Genomic DNA, 15,775 nt, shown 5'->3' with positions numbered 1-15,775 from the left:
TGTGCATGGTTGGCTTTATCTGTGGGAAAATCCATTGCTTTCTCCGTGCCTGTGCGTGATTCTGTTTTTAAATTTGTAATTGAGTAGGTGAAAGTCCTTCTCGGTCACAGAGTAATCCAGGTTGCATGTGGGAGTAGAGACGCGCAGACCCTGGCTCTGACCGATGAAGGTGAGTGGCTGGCAGGATTCTGTGCTTCTGGGTGGGTAGGAATGATATGAAACGCTGGCCTGAAGTATATGTGTTTCTTAAACCTAGGTTTGGTATTTTCCTGGGGTGATGGTGACTTTGGAAAACTGGGCCGGGGCGGAAGTGAAGGCTGTAACATTCCCCAGAACATTGAGAGACTAAATGGACAGGGGGTGTGCCAGATTGAGTGTGGAGCTCAGTTCTCCCTGGCGCTCACCAAGTCTGGAGTGGTGTGGACATGGTACGTAAACGTCCTCCCTGTCACACTGTGTGTGCTTGTGCAGGTGTGTGCAGGGAACCTGGGCCTCGCCCCAGGCTCACCCGGCGTGATTGTGACGTGTCCTCTTTTTACTTATGCATGCATCTTTGTCCTTTAAAGGATATTGAGTTGGGATTAGTGACAATAGTACAAGAAGAAATTTCCCATTGTAACTGGGTCATTTTGAAAATACTAGAAAAATTTTAGGCCACTTACCTTTCCTGTTTGGGTGAGATTTATGGGAACGGTTTCTTCTGCTGAAGCCTAAGGATAAAATGGAGCAAAATAGCCTTCTGAATCCTTTGATCCTGAAAAAGTTAACATGTGTTTCTTGTAAAAGCTTATTTTATTAATATGCAAAAGAGCAGGTGCCTGGACTGGCTGTGGATGGTGTGTCAGGCCTTAGTGCCAATGTCATGACCCGAGGCAGCTTGAGAAAGATGTATACCAGATAGGACTTTGGATAGGTGTTTGCAGTAGTGTGTCTTATTTTCAGTCTCTTTATATGAAAACCTACAACAGTAACTTAAATATCATAAAATATGTATTAAGGTATTAAGGTTTTTCCCAGCTGGCTTAATAAGTTAATTTGAATTAATGGTGTATGATTTTGAATACAAGTTTGAAGACCTTGGGTGCTGTGTGTGATGTCATTGAGCTGGCTGTGAAAGATGTGAGACAATGAGTGTCTTCTTGTATAGCATTGTCAGACCATAACCGTATTGTAACTCTCCACCATGGGCCTTCTCTCAGGGGAAAGGGGGATTACTTCAGATTGGGCCACGGCTCTGACGTGCACGTGCGGAAACCACAGGTGGTGGAAGGGCTGAGAGGGAAGAAGATCGTGCATGTGGCTGTCGGGGCCCTGCACTGCCTGGCGGTCACGGACTCGGGGCAGGTAAGGCTGCAGGTGGCCTGGGGGTGGCGTGCCATCCTGACTTGGGGGACGTGGGGGTCATGACACGGCCTTCGTCCTGTTGAAATCACAGCTGTTGATGAAATCAGCTGAGTCTTACTGCTTGGAGAACCATGAGGGCGGGTCCTGTTCCTTTTGCCCACTGGTGTATCTGCCTGCTTTGCAGCAGGGGTTGGGGGCGGGGTCCTCAGAAAAGAGGCGTTCCCACTCTGAAGTCCACGTGAAAAGTGTGTGGAAAGACTGTTATTCTTGAAGATGCTCCTAGTGCAAGATATTAGCAAGACTTTCCTTTAGAGAATTGGTAACTGGCGAGGAGGGATCCATGCCTCATTTTAGAGACAGAGCTAGTGCCTGACAAGTGTTACACTCTCTTCTGCTTGGAGAAGCATACGCTATGACTGGCTTATGGATATTCAATTTTAAATTTTATTTATGGAAACAAAATTACCATTACTGTATTTTAGTCAGAATGAATTTTACTTTATAATTCTATAAGGCCAAGAAGCAACTTACTTGAAAAATGAGCATACTGTTTTTGGTCATTTTTCTTTGCAAAATAAAAGGGAAAAAATTATTACACTTAGTTAGAGAGAGGACCTTCTGTGTGTCTTGCAACAAAGCAGAATTGGATTAATATTAAGAAAATACTCCTTTTATAGGTATTAGCAAGCATTTTCATGGTTAGATTTTCTTCAGAATTGTAGTACGCTGATGCCATTTTGAAAGATTGTGAAATGGTTTGTTTTTACCTTTAAGAACTCAATTCTTTCAACTACCGTGGCATACGCGTTAAGCATTTTGAAGTAAAAATTACATTAAAGAAAATGTCCTGAAATGTTGAAAAATTATAAGCTTTTTTCTCCTCGTAAACAGGTGTATGCTTGGGGTGACAACGACCACGGCCAGCAGGGCAATGGCACGACCACGGTTAACAGGAAGCCCACACTCGTGCAAGGCTTAGAAGGCCAGAAGATCACACGCGTGGCTTGTGGGTCGTCCCACAGTGTGGCGTGGACAACTGTGGATGTGGCCACGCCCTCTGTCCACGAGCCCGTCCTCTTCCAGACTGCAAGAGACCCTTTAGGTGCTTCCTATTTAGGTAACACAGATTTGTATCTTCTCTGAGATTTTTCTGTAGGTTTACAGCAACCTTATAGATTTATTTAATTGTGCCAACACAATTAGAGGTTGTAGTGCCATGTTAACTGCATTATGACTCTAAAGACACAGAAGAATTATGGTGTGCTCTCATGCGATTTATACATGCTGGAATGAAAATTTTAGAAGAAAGTATGTTGCTGATTCTTGTATTTATGATCAGGTAAACTCACAGCGCTGTCCTTCTGTGTGAACAGGACTCCTAATAACTGCCTGAGAGATACAGGCACTGTACTGGGCTCTTTTGTATTTTTTAACAGCTTTATTCAGTTATAATTGACATATAATAAACTGCACCTATTTAAAGTATGCATTTTGATTGACTTTGGAATATGTATGATCCATGAAAGCATCAGCACAATCAAAGATAATGAACTCATACACTACCCCAGCGTTCCTCTCTGGCCCTCTGTACCCCTCCCTTTTGCTTTTAACTCCCTCCTTCCTGCCGTATGCACCAATTTAATTTCTGTCACTAGAGATCAGTTTGCATGTTTTCTTTTTGTTATTGTTGTTGTTTGGTTGGGTTTTTTTTTTTTTTTTTGTAGACAGGGTCTCACTCTGGAGTGCAGTGGCACGATTTTGGCTCACTGCAGCTTCCACCTCCTGGGCTCAAGTGATCCTTCCACCTCAGCCTCCCAAATAGCTGGGACTACAGGCACATGTCACCATGCCTGGCTAATTTTTGTTTGTTTGTTTGGTGGAGAGAGGGTTTTGCCATGTTGCTCAGGTTGGTCTTGAACTCCTGAGCTCAAGTGATCCTCCCATCTTGGCCTCCCAAAGTGCTGGGATTATGGGCAGGAGCCACCGTGGCAGACCAGTTTGCATGTTGTACAGCTTACTATAAATAGAATCATACAGCATATACTCTTTTTAAAAATCTTTTTCCACTCAGCATAATAATTTTGAGATTCACTTATGTTGCATGTATCGATAGTTTATTCTTTTTAAATTGTTGAATAGTATCTTAAGATAAACAAATGCAATTTGTTTATCCATTTATCTGTTGATGAATGTTTGGGCTGTTTCCAGTTGACTATACAAGTGAAATTGCTAATGGACATTTCCATACAAGTTTGTGTATGGACATCCACTTGAAATTCTCTTGGGTAAACTCCTAGGAGAGGAGTGGATGGATCATATGGCAGGTGTACGTCTAGCTTCTTAAGATCGCTACATACTGTTTTGCAAAGTGGATGTTCCAGAGGTCCACATCCTCCACATTTTTGTCAACCCTTGATACGTTCAGTCTTTAATTTTAGTTATACTGATAGACGTATGGTGGTATCTCATTGTGGTTTCAATTTGCATTTCCCTAGTAACTAATGATCTCAAGCATCTTGCTTATTTACGAATCAGATACCTTTTTTGGTGAATGTCTGTTCAAGTCTTTTCCTATATTTAAATAGGTTGATTGTTTTCTTACTGAGTTTGAGAGTTTCTTATATATTCTGGGTTACAAGTCCTTTGCCTAATATAGAATTTGCTAGTATTTTCTGTCAGTGTGGCTTGTCATTTTATTCTCTTCACAGGTGAATCTTAAAGATTAGAAGTTTTTAATTTTGATGAAGCCTAGTTTATTCATTTTATTCTTTTGTAGAGTGTACTTTTGATGTTGTGTCTACAAAACCTTTGCCTCAAGATTATAAAGATTCTCCTTCTATGTTCTGTTATAGAAGTTTTGTAGTTTTAGATATGTGTATCTATGACCAGTTGATTAAATTTTATATATGGTGGGAGGTTCAGATTGAAAGGCTTTTTTTGGCATGATTGTCCAGTTGTTTCAGTTGTATTTGTTGAAAAACTACGCTTTTCCTACTGAATTGCCTTTTGCCTTTGTGAGAATTCAGTTGTCTATGGATGTATGGATCTATTTCTGGACTCTCAGTACTGTTTCATTGATTTATTTGTGGATTTTGGTGGCAATGACATATTGTCTTGATTACCACAGCTTTATAAAAGACCTGAACTCAGGTTGCAAGAGTTCTTTAGCTTTGTTCTTTTTCAAATATATGTTGGCTGTTGTAGGCCCTTTGCATTTCCATATAACTTAAAATGAGCTTGTCAGTTTTTATAAAATCGTTTGCTTGGGATTTTGATGTGGATTGCATTAATTCTGTAAGTCAATGTGGAAAGGATGGATTCACAGTATTCAGTCTTCTAACCCATGAACATAGTGTTTCTCTTTATTTTTTAGGTGTTTAGTTTCTCTCAGCAATGTTTTCTAGTCCCAGTATTGTGTAGGTTTTTTTTTTTTTTTTTGAGACGGAGTCTCGCTCTGTCGCCAGGCTGGAGTGCAGTGGCGCAATCTCGGCTCACTGCAAGCTCTGCTTCCCGGGTTCACGCCATTCTCCTGCCTCAGCCTCCCAAGTTGCTGGGACCACAGGCACCTGCCACCACGCCCGGCTAATTTTTTTGTATTTTTAGTAGAGACGGGGTTTCACCGTGTTAGCCAGGACAGAATCGATCTCCTGACCTCGTGATCCGCCCACCTCGGCCTCCCAAAGTGCTGGGATTACAGGCGTGAGTCACCGCACCCGGTCTATTGTATAGGTTTTGCTTGTCTTTTGTTAGATTATTTCTAAGAATTTCAGATTATTAAATGGTCTTTTAAAAATATCATTTCTTCTGTATGGGAATATTCAGATTGCTCTTTGCTAGCATGTAGAAATAAGTACAATTGCTTTTTTTTTTAAAAAAAGTGAGCTTCATCTTGTCATACAAATATTTTGTTTTTTCCCCTTCTGTCTCAGGAGGGGACATTTAGGCTCCAGCAGCATCTGCTTTTATGAATAACTGGAATGTGATCTTCTGGCTGTGTTAGTTACTGGCTGTATGAACTGGGGCGAGTGGCTTCACCTTCCTGTGCTGTCTTCTTTTCTGGGGTAGATGAAGATAATGCTTGACTCTCATCTTCTCCTTTCTGGTTCAAATTACTCAGTATCTTCTTAACGTATAGCTCTTTTCATGTCACATTATATGTATAACTTTTGAGTCTGGCTTTTTCTGCTCAGCCTAATCCTCTGGCTATTCATCCAAGTTGTTACATATTACATAGTATGTTCAGTATTCCATCGAATACTCAACCATCGAAGGACATTTGGATTATTTCTAGGTTTTGACTATTACAAATAAAACTGCCATGTCATTCATATACAGGTGAATGTGAAAATTTACTTTACGTGAAAATAAGTTCTTATTTCTTTGGCATAAATGTCCAAGAGTGTGATGGTTGGTCATATGGTAATTATGTTTAGTTTGATAAGAAACTGCCAAGCCGTTTTCCAGAATGGCTGTGCCATTTTATATTCTCATTAGCAGTGGAGGATGATCCAGTTTTTCCCATATCCTCACCATCTTTTTAAAATGTAGCCATACTGATAGATAGGTCATTGTATCTCATTGTGGTTTTAATATTTTCCTTATGGCTAATTATGTTAACCATCTTTTCATGTGCTTATTTACTGTCCATATCTCCTCTTTGGTAAAATATGTCTTCATGCCCTTTTCTAATTGGCTTTTTTTTTTTCTGTTGAGTTTAGAGAGTTCATTATATATTCTAGATGTTTCTAGTCCTTTGGCAGATGTGTGTTATGCAGATATTTTCTCCTGGTCTCTAGCTTGTCTTTTCGTTTCCTTTCATAGAACGAAAGTGTTTAATTTTGATGAAGTCTAATTCATCAGGTTTTTCTTTTATAGATCATACTTTTGGTGTCAAGTCTAAGTATATTTTTGCCTAGTGCTAGTTCCTAAAGACTGTCTCCTATTTTTCTCTAAAAGATTTATAGTTTTGTATTTTCTACTGAAGTCATGATCCATTTGGATTTAATTTTGCATAAGGTGTAGACTTAGGCTGAAGTTTGGGTTTTTTGCCCACAGACGTCCAGTTGCTCCACCACCATATGCCGAAAGGCTGTCCTGCCTCCGAGTTGCTTTTGCACGTTTGTCAACAGTCAGTGAGGCATATTTGTGTGGTTCTGTTTCTGGGTTCTCTGTTTATTCCATTGATTCTTATGCCAGTACCACACAGTTTTGGTTATGGTATTACAACTTTTGAAATTGGGTAGACTCATTCCTCCTCCTTATTTTTCTATTTCTATTCTTGCTCCTTTGCCTTTCCATGTACATTTCAGAATAATCTTGTCTGTTGACAAAAACTCTTGCTGGAATTCTGGTGGGAATTGCATTAAATCTGTGTATCAATTTGGATGAGTTGACATAGACACATGTCCCAGCTCTACTTGGCTCCCTCCTTCTGCTGAGACCTGGGAGTTCACAACGAAGTGAGCCTGATGAGACTTTATTGGTGAACATCTTTTCTCTTTGTTGTTTTGTATTCTTTTTTGTCTTGTCTTACCGGGGTAAGAAAATACAGGTAGTTATTGTAGCATTTTCATAGTTTATATGTATATAACATAAACTGTTGTAAGTGCATTTTATAAAAGCACCTACATCTTTTTGCAGTTACAGTGGAACTATGCTGAAAATAGCTTCTTTATCGAAGTATGGATAAGTGGTTTTCTTATTTTGAAGGCCTATTAATGAGCCTGATAGGTGCTTTGTGAAATAGCAAAATGCAGATTGCAGTGTGTTTTGGAACTAACCTGTAAGGTCAGATTTTATAGAAATAGATCAAACTGTGATTTTAAAAACAATGCAAATTTTATTTTCCTCTTATAGGCGTGCCTTCAGATGCTGATTCTTCTGCTGCCAGTAATAAAATAAGTGGTGCAAGTAATTCTAAGCCAAATCGCCCTTCTCTTGCCAAGATTCTCTTGTCATTGGATGGAAATCTGGCCAAACAGCAGGCCTTATCACATATTCTTACAGCATTGCAAATCATGTATGCCAGGTAGGCTTCTGTGCTAATTTTTGAAATTCTGCAATTATGTGAGCTTCACATTTTTGTGATTTTTTTTCTTTTCGTTGATCAGATGTCTCCAAGAATGTTGTATTATTGTCTTTAAATGCTGTATGTTGTAAGTCACAAGTTCTTTGATGGTGATTGGTGATATCTTAGTGTGTGTCTTAATGGGCATTGAAATATGAATTAGAAAACTAACTTGAACATTTTCACTATTCTTTTTGACCAGTAGACTCGAACCATCAATATTTGGGGGAAGAAAAGAAGAATTAGGTGATACTAATTTATAGTGATGTCTAAGACGACTTAGCATCCCCTTCGCTCACTTGAGAAGGCTGAGTTTTGCCAGTGCGGCATTTTGCAGTATTTTTCTGCTGCTTTCCCACAGCCTAGATAAGTTTCCCATCTACTAATGTATCACACATGTGGACCTGACAGGTGTCCTTACATAGGAAAATTAGTTTCAGAACAAAAACAGTCATTCAGTAGAGGCCATTGAGTCGTTGCTGCTCAGTATGTGGCTTTCAGTAAACACAAAATTGCCTGCTGGTCAATTATCCAGCCCTCAGGCTCTCACAGCAGCCCAAGAGGATTTCTTTCTCAGGGAGAGCCAGAGTCTCATTCTGGTCTGGTTTTTATGTTTGGCAGTTTTTCACCTGCCATTACTCTGGTTTTTCAAATAAATAGGATCCAGAGTAAACATTTTAGCTATTAGCCAAAGGATACATGGTAATAATGTTTGGTAGTTTTCCAAAACTCTTCTACATGTATTCAGTAAAAATGAGGAAACGCCTCAGTGCGTGCTAGCCCTGCCTCTCCACTTCCTGTGCTGCAGTGGAGAAGGGGCAGCTCACCACAGGCCTGGCTTTGTGTCCTGACAGAGATGCTGTTGTCGGGGCCCTGATGCCGGCCGCCATGATCGCCCCGGTGGAGTGCCCCTCGTTCTCCTCGGCGGCCCCTTCCGACGCATCTGCGATGGCTAGTCCCATGAATGGAGAAGAATGCATGCTGGCTGTTGATATCGAAGACAGACTGAGTCCAAATCCATGGCAAGAAAAGAGAGAGGTAAAAGCGAATCTAAAGCAATGTTAGATCAGAAAGGAAAAGGTGGCTACTTTGTGTCTAGGAAAGTCTCATTGTGTCATTTAGTTTAGGCTGTTTCTGTGCCTCCCGCTTAGATTTTTGGCTTTACTTAGAAGAATATTCTCTGTAAAGGAGCTTTTAAAGTGCTTAAGTGGAATTGGCTTTCTTTTATTAAAAAAACCATTAAATCAAGTTCACAGTCCTTTATCTGCAATTCTGAAACCTTAAAGTTCTGACAGTCAAGAATTTTAGTAACATTTTGGGGGAAAGAACCAACTCGAAGATATGTGAACTCATTTTAGTCTGGTTCATGTGACCTGCTGTGAATATTAATAGTTATTCTTGAAAATATGAATGTGCTTGACTTTGCAAAACTGTCCTAGGCCTGACTGGGGGTGGTAGTGGCTATGTCTGGTGGGCACCATGTTACCTCTGTAAAATCTGGAACATTCTAAACAGCCCAAGTAGTTTTAGGTAAAGCATTTGGGACTTGCATAGGAAATGTGTTATGTTGCTGAGTTTTTCCACTTAAACTTCCCCTACTGTGCACTCTTGGACTAGATTGTTTCCTCTGAGGACGCAGTGACCCCCTCTGCAGTGACTCCGTCGGCCCCCTCAGCCTCCGCTCGGCCTTTTATCCCAGTGACGGATGACCTGGGAGCCGCAAGCATCATTGCAGAAACCATGACCAAAACCAAAGAGGTGAAGAGGCGTTCTTCTTTAACTTTGTATTGTGAAATAATCTTAAATGTACACAGAAGTAGAAATAGAACTTAGGAGTGGAACACAGTCTATTCCTATCCCATTCACCTCGGCTGTCCACTTGTTAGCATCTTCGAAGCGTTTGTGGGAATGCCGCAGGACACGGTCCCTGTCACTGCTTACTGCTTCCACGTGTATTCCTTGAGTATCAGGACTGCAGCTTGATCCAGGATTACTTTCAAACCCACAGACATATTCAGATTTTGCTCATCATCCCAATAGTATCCTTAAAGGTCTAGCACTCAACCTAGGATTGCATGTTGCCTCTTTAGTCTTCAGTGTGGAACAGTCCTTCAGTTCTTCGTTTTGACAGACACCACAGGAACGGTGCAGAATTCTTTTCAGTGCCTCCATTAGGACTCACGCATTGCTGATTTGCTGCATCATTGGTGAGATAGCTTATCACTTGGTTAAGGGTCTCTGCCAAGTTTCTCCACTGGAAGTCAGTAAGTGTGTTAAGTACTCATGGGGAGATACTTTTGAGATTATGTCAATGTCTTGTTCCTCATCATACTTTTACCTCCCAGTTTTTAGCATCTTAAAGATTCTAGCTGAATCCATTATTACTGTGGTGGTTGTCACATTTTCATTGTTCACATTTATTGTTACTTCTGGAATGTAATTGTTGCCATTCTTTTGCAAGAGACAGCTTTCCCTTCTCATCCGTCTGTCTTCTACCTACCTACCTACCTGTCTTTTTATATTGTATAGAATCAGGAGTTCCTGTTTTAGTCAAATAGTGACGTTTGTTGCTATCATTATTTGACACCCAAATGGTCCTGGACTTGGTTATTGGGACTCCCATGGACTGGTCACTGGGACTCGGTCACTGGGACTCCCGTGGACTGGTCACTGGGACTCGGTCACTGGGACTCCCGTGGACTGGTCACTGGGACCCGGTCATTGGGACTCCCGTGGACTGGTCATTGGGATCCCTGTGGACTGGTTCCATTGTCTGATGTGTCCCCATAATTTTTAGGGCTCTTCCTTCATTTCTGGCACAACTGTGCTCTAGACTTATCTTTCACCTACCCTCCCCCTGCCTGGAATCAGCCATTTCTTCAAGAAGCCATGGTTCCTGCTAGTGGCTTGTAGGATTTGGAAACCGAGATCTGGGTGCTTGGTAAGCTAATTGTTACTGAGTGTCTTTGGTTAGGCCCTCTCAGCAAATAGACCTATACACATGAACATTTATTTATCCTTCTGCATTTATCTATATAATAAAAACCATTAACAGCCCAAATCAGTACTTTTAATTCCAATCCAGTACCACAGGGCTTATTCCTACTCTCCCTTTTTCCATATTTTTTTGGTGTATAATGCTTTTATATGTTGCTAGATTTGGTTTGCTGCTATTTTGTTGAAGATTTTTACATCTGTATTCATAAGGGATACGGCTCTGTAGTTTTCTTGTGATGTCTTTGGTTTGGATATTATAGCAATATTGGCTTCATAGATTGAGTTGGAGGGTGTGCCTTTCTCTTCTGTTTTTTAGAAGAGTTGGTGAAGCATTCGGGTTAATTCTTCTTTAAGTAGTTGGTAGAATTTTATGTGTTCTTCTGGCATATTCCCATCATTCTTTGAGTATTTCCTTACTTTTTGGCACAACACAAAATTCCAGGCTCAATAAGATGTTTTATGCTCCAACATAGGAATCAGTTGTGTTTCTGAGAAGTCCTAGTTCTTTCTGGTGGAGAAGGGCATTTAGAGGTCAAGATCTGGGCCCTTTGTGTGCTTGTTGCTGTTTGGGTGACAGGGCTAGAGAATGAATATGTGTGTGTGTAACATAATAGGTACATACATCAGTTTTTGTTTTTGTTTTGTTTTTAGACAGGGTCTTGTTCTGTTGCCCAGGCTGCAGTAGAGTGGCACGATCTTGGCTCACTGCAGCCTCAACCTCCTGGTCTCAAGCCATCCTCAGCCTCCCAAGTAGCTGGAACTACAAGCATGCACCACCATACCTGGCTAATTTTTGTATTTTTTTTTTTCTCTTTTTTTTTCAGAGATAGGTTTTGCCATGTTGCCCAGGCTGGTCTTGAACTCCTGGGCTCAAGTGATCTGCCTGCCTCATCCTCTCAAAGTGCTGGGATTACAGGCATGAGCCACCGTGTTTGGCCTACATCAGTATTTGTGTTGTTATATATTTACGTACATGGAAAACCACCGGTTCACACCAATATGATTGATTGTAACCCAACTAAGATTCATTCTAGTTTTCACCCTTTCTGTATTTATAACTTCCTTCTCTGAAAGTGGGAAACCTGGCTCCTGTCATCAGCAGGCTATTTACTTACAGTTCAGTCCCCTTAGATAACCAACCTCCGATCTTGGCTGTCCCCCACTCCGTGGTGGGCACCTTTCTTCCTCTGTACATCCTCTGGCACTCAGAACCAGTCTGCCTCCATGGTCCTCCATGGTCACCCTACGTGACCTCTGGCCCTCCCCTCACCTCCATGTTGACCCAGAGTGTGGCACCTTCCTCACTTGGCCTGGCTGTGTCTCTCCAACCCCCCATGTGTGGATGCCTTCCCCAGCCCGCTGAGGCGCTCCCCACACCAGGCCAGCCCCTGCTCATGTGTACTCCCTTGCCAGCCTTTCCACCTTGAGGGCAAACACTTTATTTTTAATTACATTTGGAACCCTTGATTTATTATGCTGTTACTGCTGGCAGAAAATATGTCCTACAGAAATTATTTATAACCATCCATGGTAGTAAGAAAGCCTCTATTTATGAATTAGGTGCCTGGAATCAACTTCTAATTTTTGGCAGTCTCCTGGTTTGAGGGTTTAATGCAGAACTTATTCTGAGGAAGGCAACATTTTTGTTTTAGGTAAAAGGATAATATGATTTATTTCCCCCCAATTTATTTATGAGACATAGGCATTATCCAGGTTGCAACCCTGTATTTCTATTATTTCAGTTTTGGCTTGACTCATGAATTTAAGGCAAAGCAATTTTAATGTTAGTATTAAGCTATAATTCATATTTAAGGATATGCCGCTAGTGATTTTCTTCCTTAGCAATTCTTCTAGACATATTTTCTGTGTTTGTGTGTGTGCATGTTTTAAGACACCCTCATAAAAAAAAATGGTAGGTACATTTCAATCTCAAGACTAAAGATATTCTTGTTAATATGTTTCACTGAATGCTTTTGCTGTCCTTCAGTGAGTTATGTTCTGGAATGTCATCATTTATAATGAATTTCCCTTACTCCTTGTGTCTCCATGCAGAGGCAGGAGCAAGGTCTGTTTCCCAAAAGGGAGAGGAACCTTGTTCCTAAATCAGAGTGGTGTGGTTTCCAGGGTCCACTGGTTGGGTCATTTTCCCCTTAAGGGGAACATGTGGGGCTGTCCTTCCCCCAGCCTGTTTATGTTTGTGGAAAGAGTTGCACTGGATTTGCTGAGGTCCAGAAAGCAGGAGAGAAAAGCGGCACTTCCCTGGCTCTCGATCTTCCTCTGGGGAGCCAGACTCTGCCTGGGGAATGAGAAGGGCTTGACACACTCCTGCTCTGCACAGGGTCACAGCGGTTCCCATGCTGGGTCGGAAGCGGTGGGAGTCCCTGGCACTGACAAGGGCCTTTCCCGTTTCCACAAGCTCAGCCCCAGTGCTGCCCTCCAGGAGGCTTCTGTGTGCCAACAAGCAGGGTGGGGGCGGCCATCCTGGGCAAGGCACCTCCATAGGGTGGGAGCTGGGGGTGCAGTGATGCTGGGAATTGGCTCATAGCAAACAAGGAGAGGAGTTGAAGGATCAAGATGTGGTATGTTTAGGCTGACATGGCAGGAATGGGAAGTACACGAGTGGTAATGAGAAGACTTTTATGTATGATGTTTTCAATGAACCCAAGGAGAGAGAGAGACTGGATAGTGTGTTAATGCCAGTGAGTTGCTTGAAATAAGATTCCAGGAAAGAATTATGGAGAGGATCTAGACAAAATGTATACAATTAGAGAATACAAATTTAGTTTGTAAACGATTCCCTAGCGTATCTTATGGGTAGATTATACAGGATGCAGCTTCATTCCAAAACTCCCCCTGTAGTATCTGCTTATGATCCAAACTTGGTCCCAGTAATAAATTGTCATTTCTTTATAGCTTAAGTCATCCCTTTTTGATAAATGCCATTGGTAATACAACAGTTAATTGGTCTTGAAAACATAGTACATGGCTTGGTGGAGATTTTAGGGGCCGTCGTTTCTTAATCTGTTTCTTAAGGTCTTAAACACCTTCAGGTTTCTTACTCGTTGGTATTCATGTGTTCTCTGAGTTTATGGGTAAACTGGTGACTCTTTATCTCTTAGCATATCATTCCTCATGTTAATTGTTGGATGTCATTTGACTTAGGATGTTGAAAGCCAAAATAAAGCAGCAGGTCCGGAGCCTCAGGCCTTGGATGAGTTCACCAGTCTGCTGATTGCGGATGACACTCGTGTGGTGGTAGACCTGCTCAAGCTGTCAGTGTGCAGCCGGGCCGGGGACAGGGGCAGGGATGTGCTCTCCGCGGTGCTTTCCGGCATGGGGACCGCCTACCCACAGGTGAGTCTCAGGGAGGGCGGGGCCGTCTGATTCCACCTCCTCCATGTTGGGCCACCCTCCTCTCCAAAGGAGAGCTGCTATGGATCACCGGTGATCTTGTGCTGGGTTTCATCCTAGTAGACTGCAGGTTAGGAGCACTCCTTTAGAGCAAAACGTTTTAGCATTTAACCCAGTGACATCCTTTACCTGTTTTTTGTTTTTTTGAGACGGAGTCTCGCTCTGTCGCCCAGGCTAGAGTGCAGTGGCGCCATCTCGACTCACTGCAAGCTCTGCCTCCTGGGTTCACACCATTCTCCTGCCTCAGCCTTCCAAGTAGCTGGGACTACAGGTGCCCACCACCATGCCCGGCTAATTTTTTTTGTATTTTTAGTAGAGTCGGGGTTTTACCATGTTAGCCAGGATGGTCTTGATCTCCTGACCTCGTGATCCACCTGCCTCAGCCTCCCAAAGTGCTGGGATTACAGGAGTGAGCACCAAACCTGGCCCCTTTACCTGTTTTATAACTGATTTGTGCATCTTTTTAAAATGATTTGTCAAAGTTCTTTAAGTCCCTTTTCTATCATATGTCTTACAGTTTCCACCCCAGTTTATTTTTTGATATTAGTTTGATATTTTTTGCCATGTAGAAATTTTTAATTATTATGTGGTCAAATCTGTCAGTTTTTTTCATTTATGCCTTCTGAGTTTTGTATTATGCTGAAAAAAAAATGCTTGCTTATGTGACATTGTTTTAAATAAATTCTTCCAAGTTTTCGTCTAAGGTTTTTGAGACAGTCTCCTTCACCCGGGCTGGAGTGCGGTGGCGCAATCTCAGCCTCCCAGGATCACCTCTACCTCCCGGGATCAGGTGATTCTTGTGCCTCAGCTTCCTGAGTAGCTGGGATTACAGGCATGCGCCACGATGCCTGGCTAATTTTTGTATTTTTAGTTGAGATGGGGTTTCACCATGTTGGCCCGGCTGGTCTGGAACTGCTGACCTCAAGTGATCTACCCACCTTGGCCTCCCAAAGTGCTTGGGATTACAGGCATGAGCCACCATGCCCGGCCTTCTTCTAATTTTTTATGATTTCATGTATTGTTTACATTTTTTAGCCACCTGGGATTTATTTTGATGTAAGAATAAAGTAGGTATCCAACTTTACTTTTTTTCCTAGATGGTAAACCGGTTGCCCTAACATCATTTATTGAATAACTCATCTTTTCCCTGGTGATTTAAAAACCAGTTTTATCATATTCTAAATTCCTGTATGCATTTGGGTCTATTTACAAAACTTCTTAGGTTCTGATACTATGGTATTTTAACTATTACAGCTTTAAAATGTCTTTTAATATTTGGTAGCACTGGGTCTGTAGGACTTTGTCATTGTGGAAATGTTCTGGACCGGAGCCATCTGGGACCATTGGCACCAGCCACATATGGCCACTGCACACTGAAATATGGCTAGTGCACCTGAGGAACTGAAGGTTTTAAAACACTCAACTTGAGGCACATGTGGCTAGTAGCTGCTGAATTGGTCTGTAGGTCTGCAGTATAAAGTGAGCGTCTTACTAGTATGTCTTAGAAATAGGACTGATCAGTCGTAAAGGCCGTGGGCTTCCTTAAGAACTCTTCTTTATCAGCAGCCATGCTCTGCCCTGCCAGGGAGCCTGAGATGTCCTTCCTGGCTGCAGACACTTCATCCGTTTCTCTGGGTGCCTACTTTGTGTGGAGGAAAGTCTTACTCTGTCACTTAGTTTAGGCAGTTTCTGTGCCTATTAGGATTTTTGGCTTTAGTTAGAAGAATATTCTCTTTAAAGGAACTTCTGAAGTTTTTAAGTAGAATTATATTTAAAAAAAAAATCATTAAATGTAAGTTCATACTCCTTTATCTGAAATTCTGAAACGTTAAAGCTCTGATGGTCAGAAATTTTAGTAACTTACATGATCACCAAAACGATAAAGTACTTAAGTAGAGTTGAGCAGTCTTGAAAGCGCAGCAGAGTTTGGTAGATATTTTAGGGGCTTGTTATTTC

The 15,775-nt window shown here is 41.7% G+C and overlaps 1 protein-coding gene across 10 annotated transcripts in view; it reads left to right on the top strand.

Annotated features, from left to right (window-relative positions):
- HERC2 (HECT and RLD domain containing E3 ubiquitin protein ligase 2) overlaps positions 1-15,775 on the top strand; it is a 211,140-nt gene that overhangs the window by 145,324 nt on the left and 50,041 nt on the right. For all 10 annotated transcript variants that reach the window (XM_006720727.4, XM_006720726.4, NM_004667.6 and 7 more), the window contains 8 exons: positions 88-169; positions 257-428; positions 1,200-1,344; positions 2,236-2,461; positions 7,201-7,372; positions 8,266-8,449; positions 9,029-9,169; positions 13,571-13,762. In XM_006720727.4, the coding sequence (XP_006720790.1) occupies positions 88-169; positions 257-428; positions 1,200-1,344; positions 2,236-2,461; positions 7,201-7,372; positions 8,266-8,449; positions 9,029-9,169; positions 13,571-13,762 (1,314 nt within the window). The remainder of the gene's footprint in view (positions 1-87; positions 170-256; positions 429-1,199; positions 1,345-2,235; positions 2,462-7,200; positions 7,373-8,265; positions 8,450-9,028; positions 9,170-13,570; positions 13,763-15,775) is intronic.

Source organism: Homo sapiens, chromosome 15, assembly GCF_000001405.40.
Source record: "Homo sapiens chromosome 15, GRCh38.p14 Primary Assembly".
Taxonomy (NCBI): Eukaryota; Metazoa; Chordata; class Mammalia; order Primates; family Hominidae; genus Homo; species Homo sapiens.
Note: the sequence above shows the minus strand (reverse complement) of the source record. Positions and strands in the feature narration are given on the sequence as shown.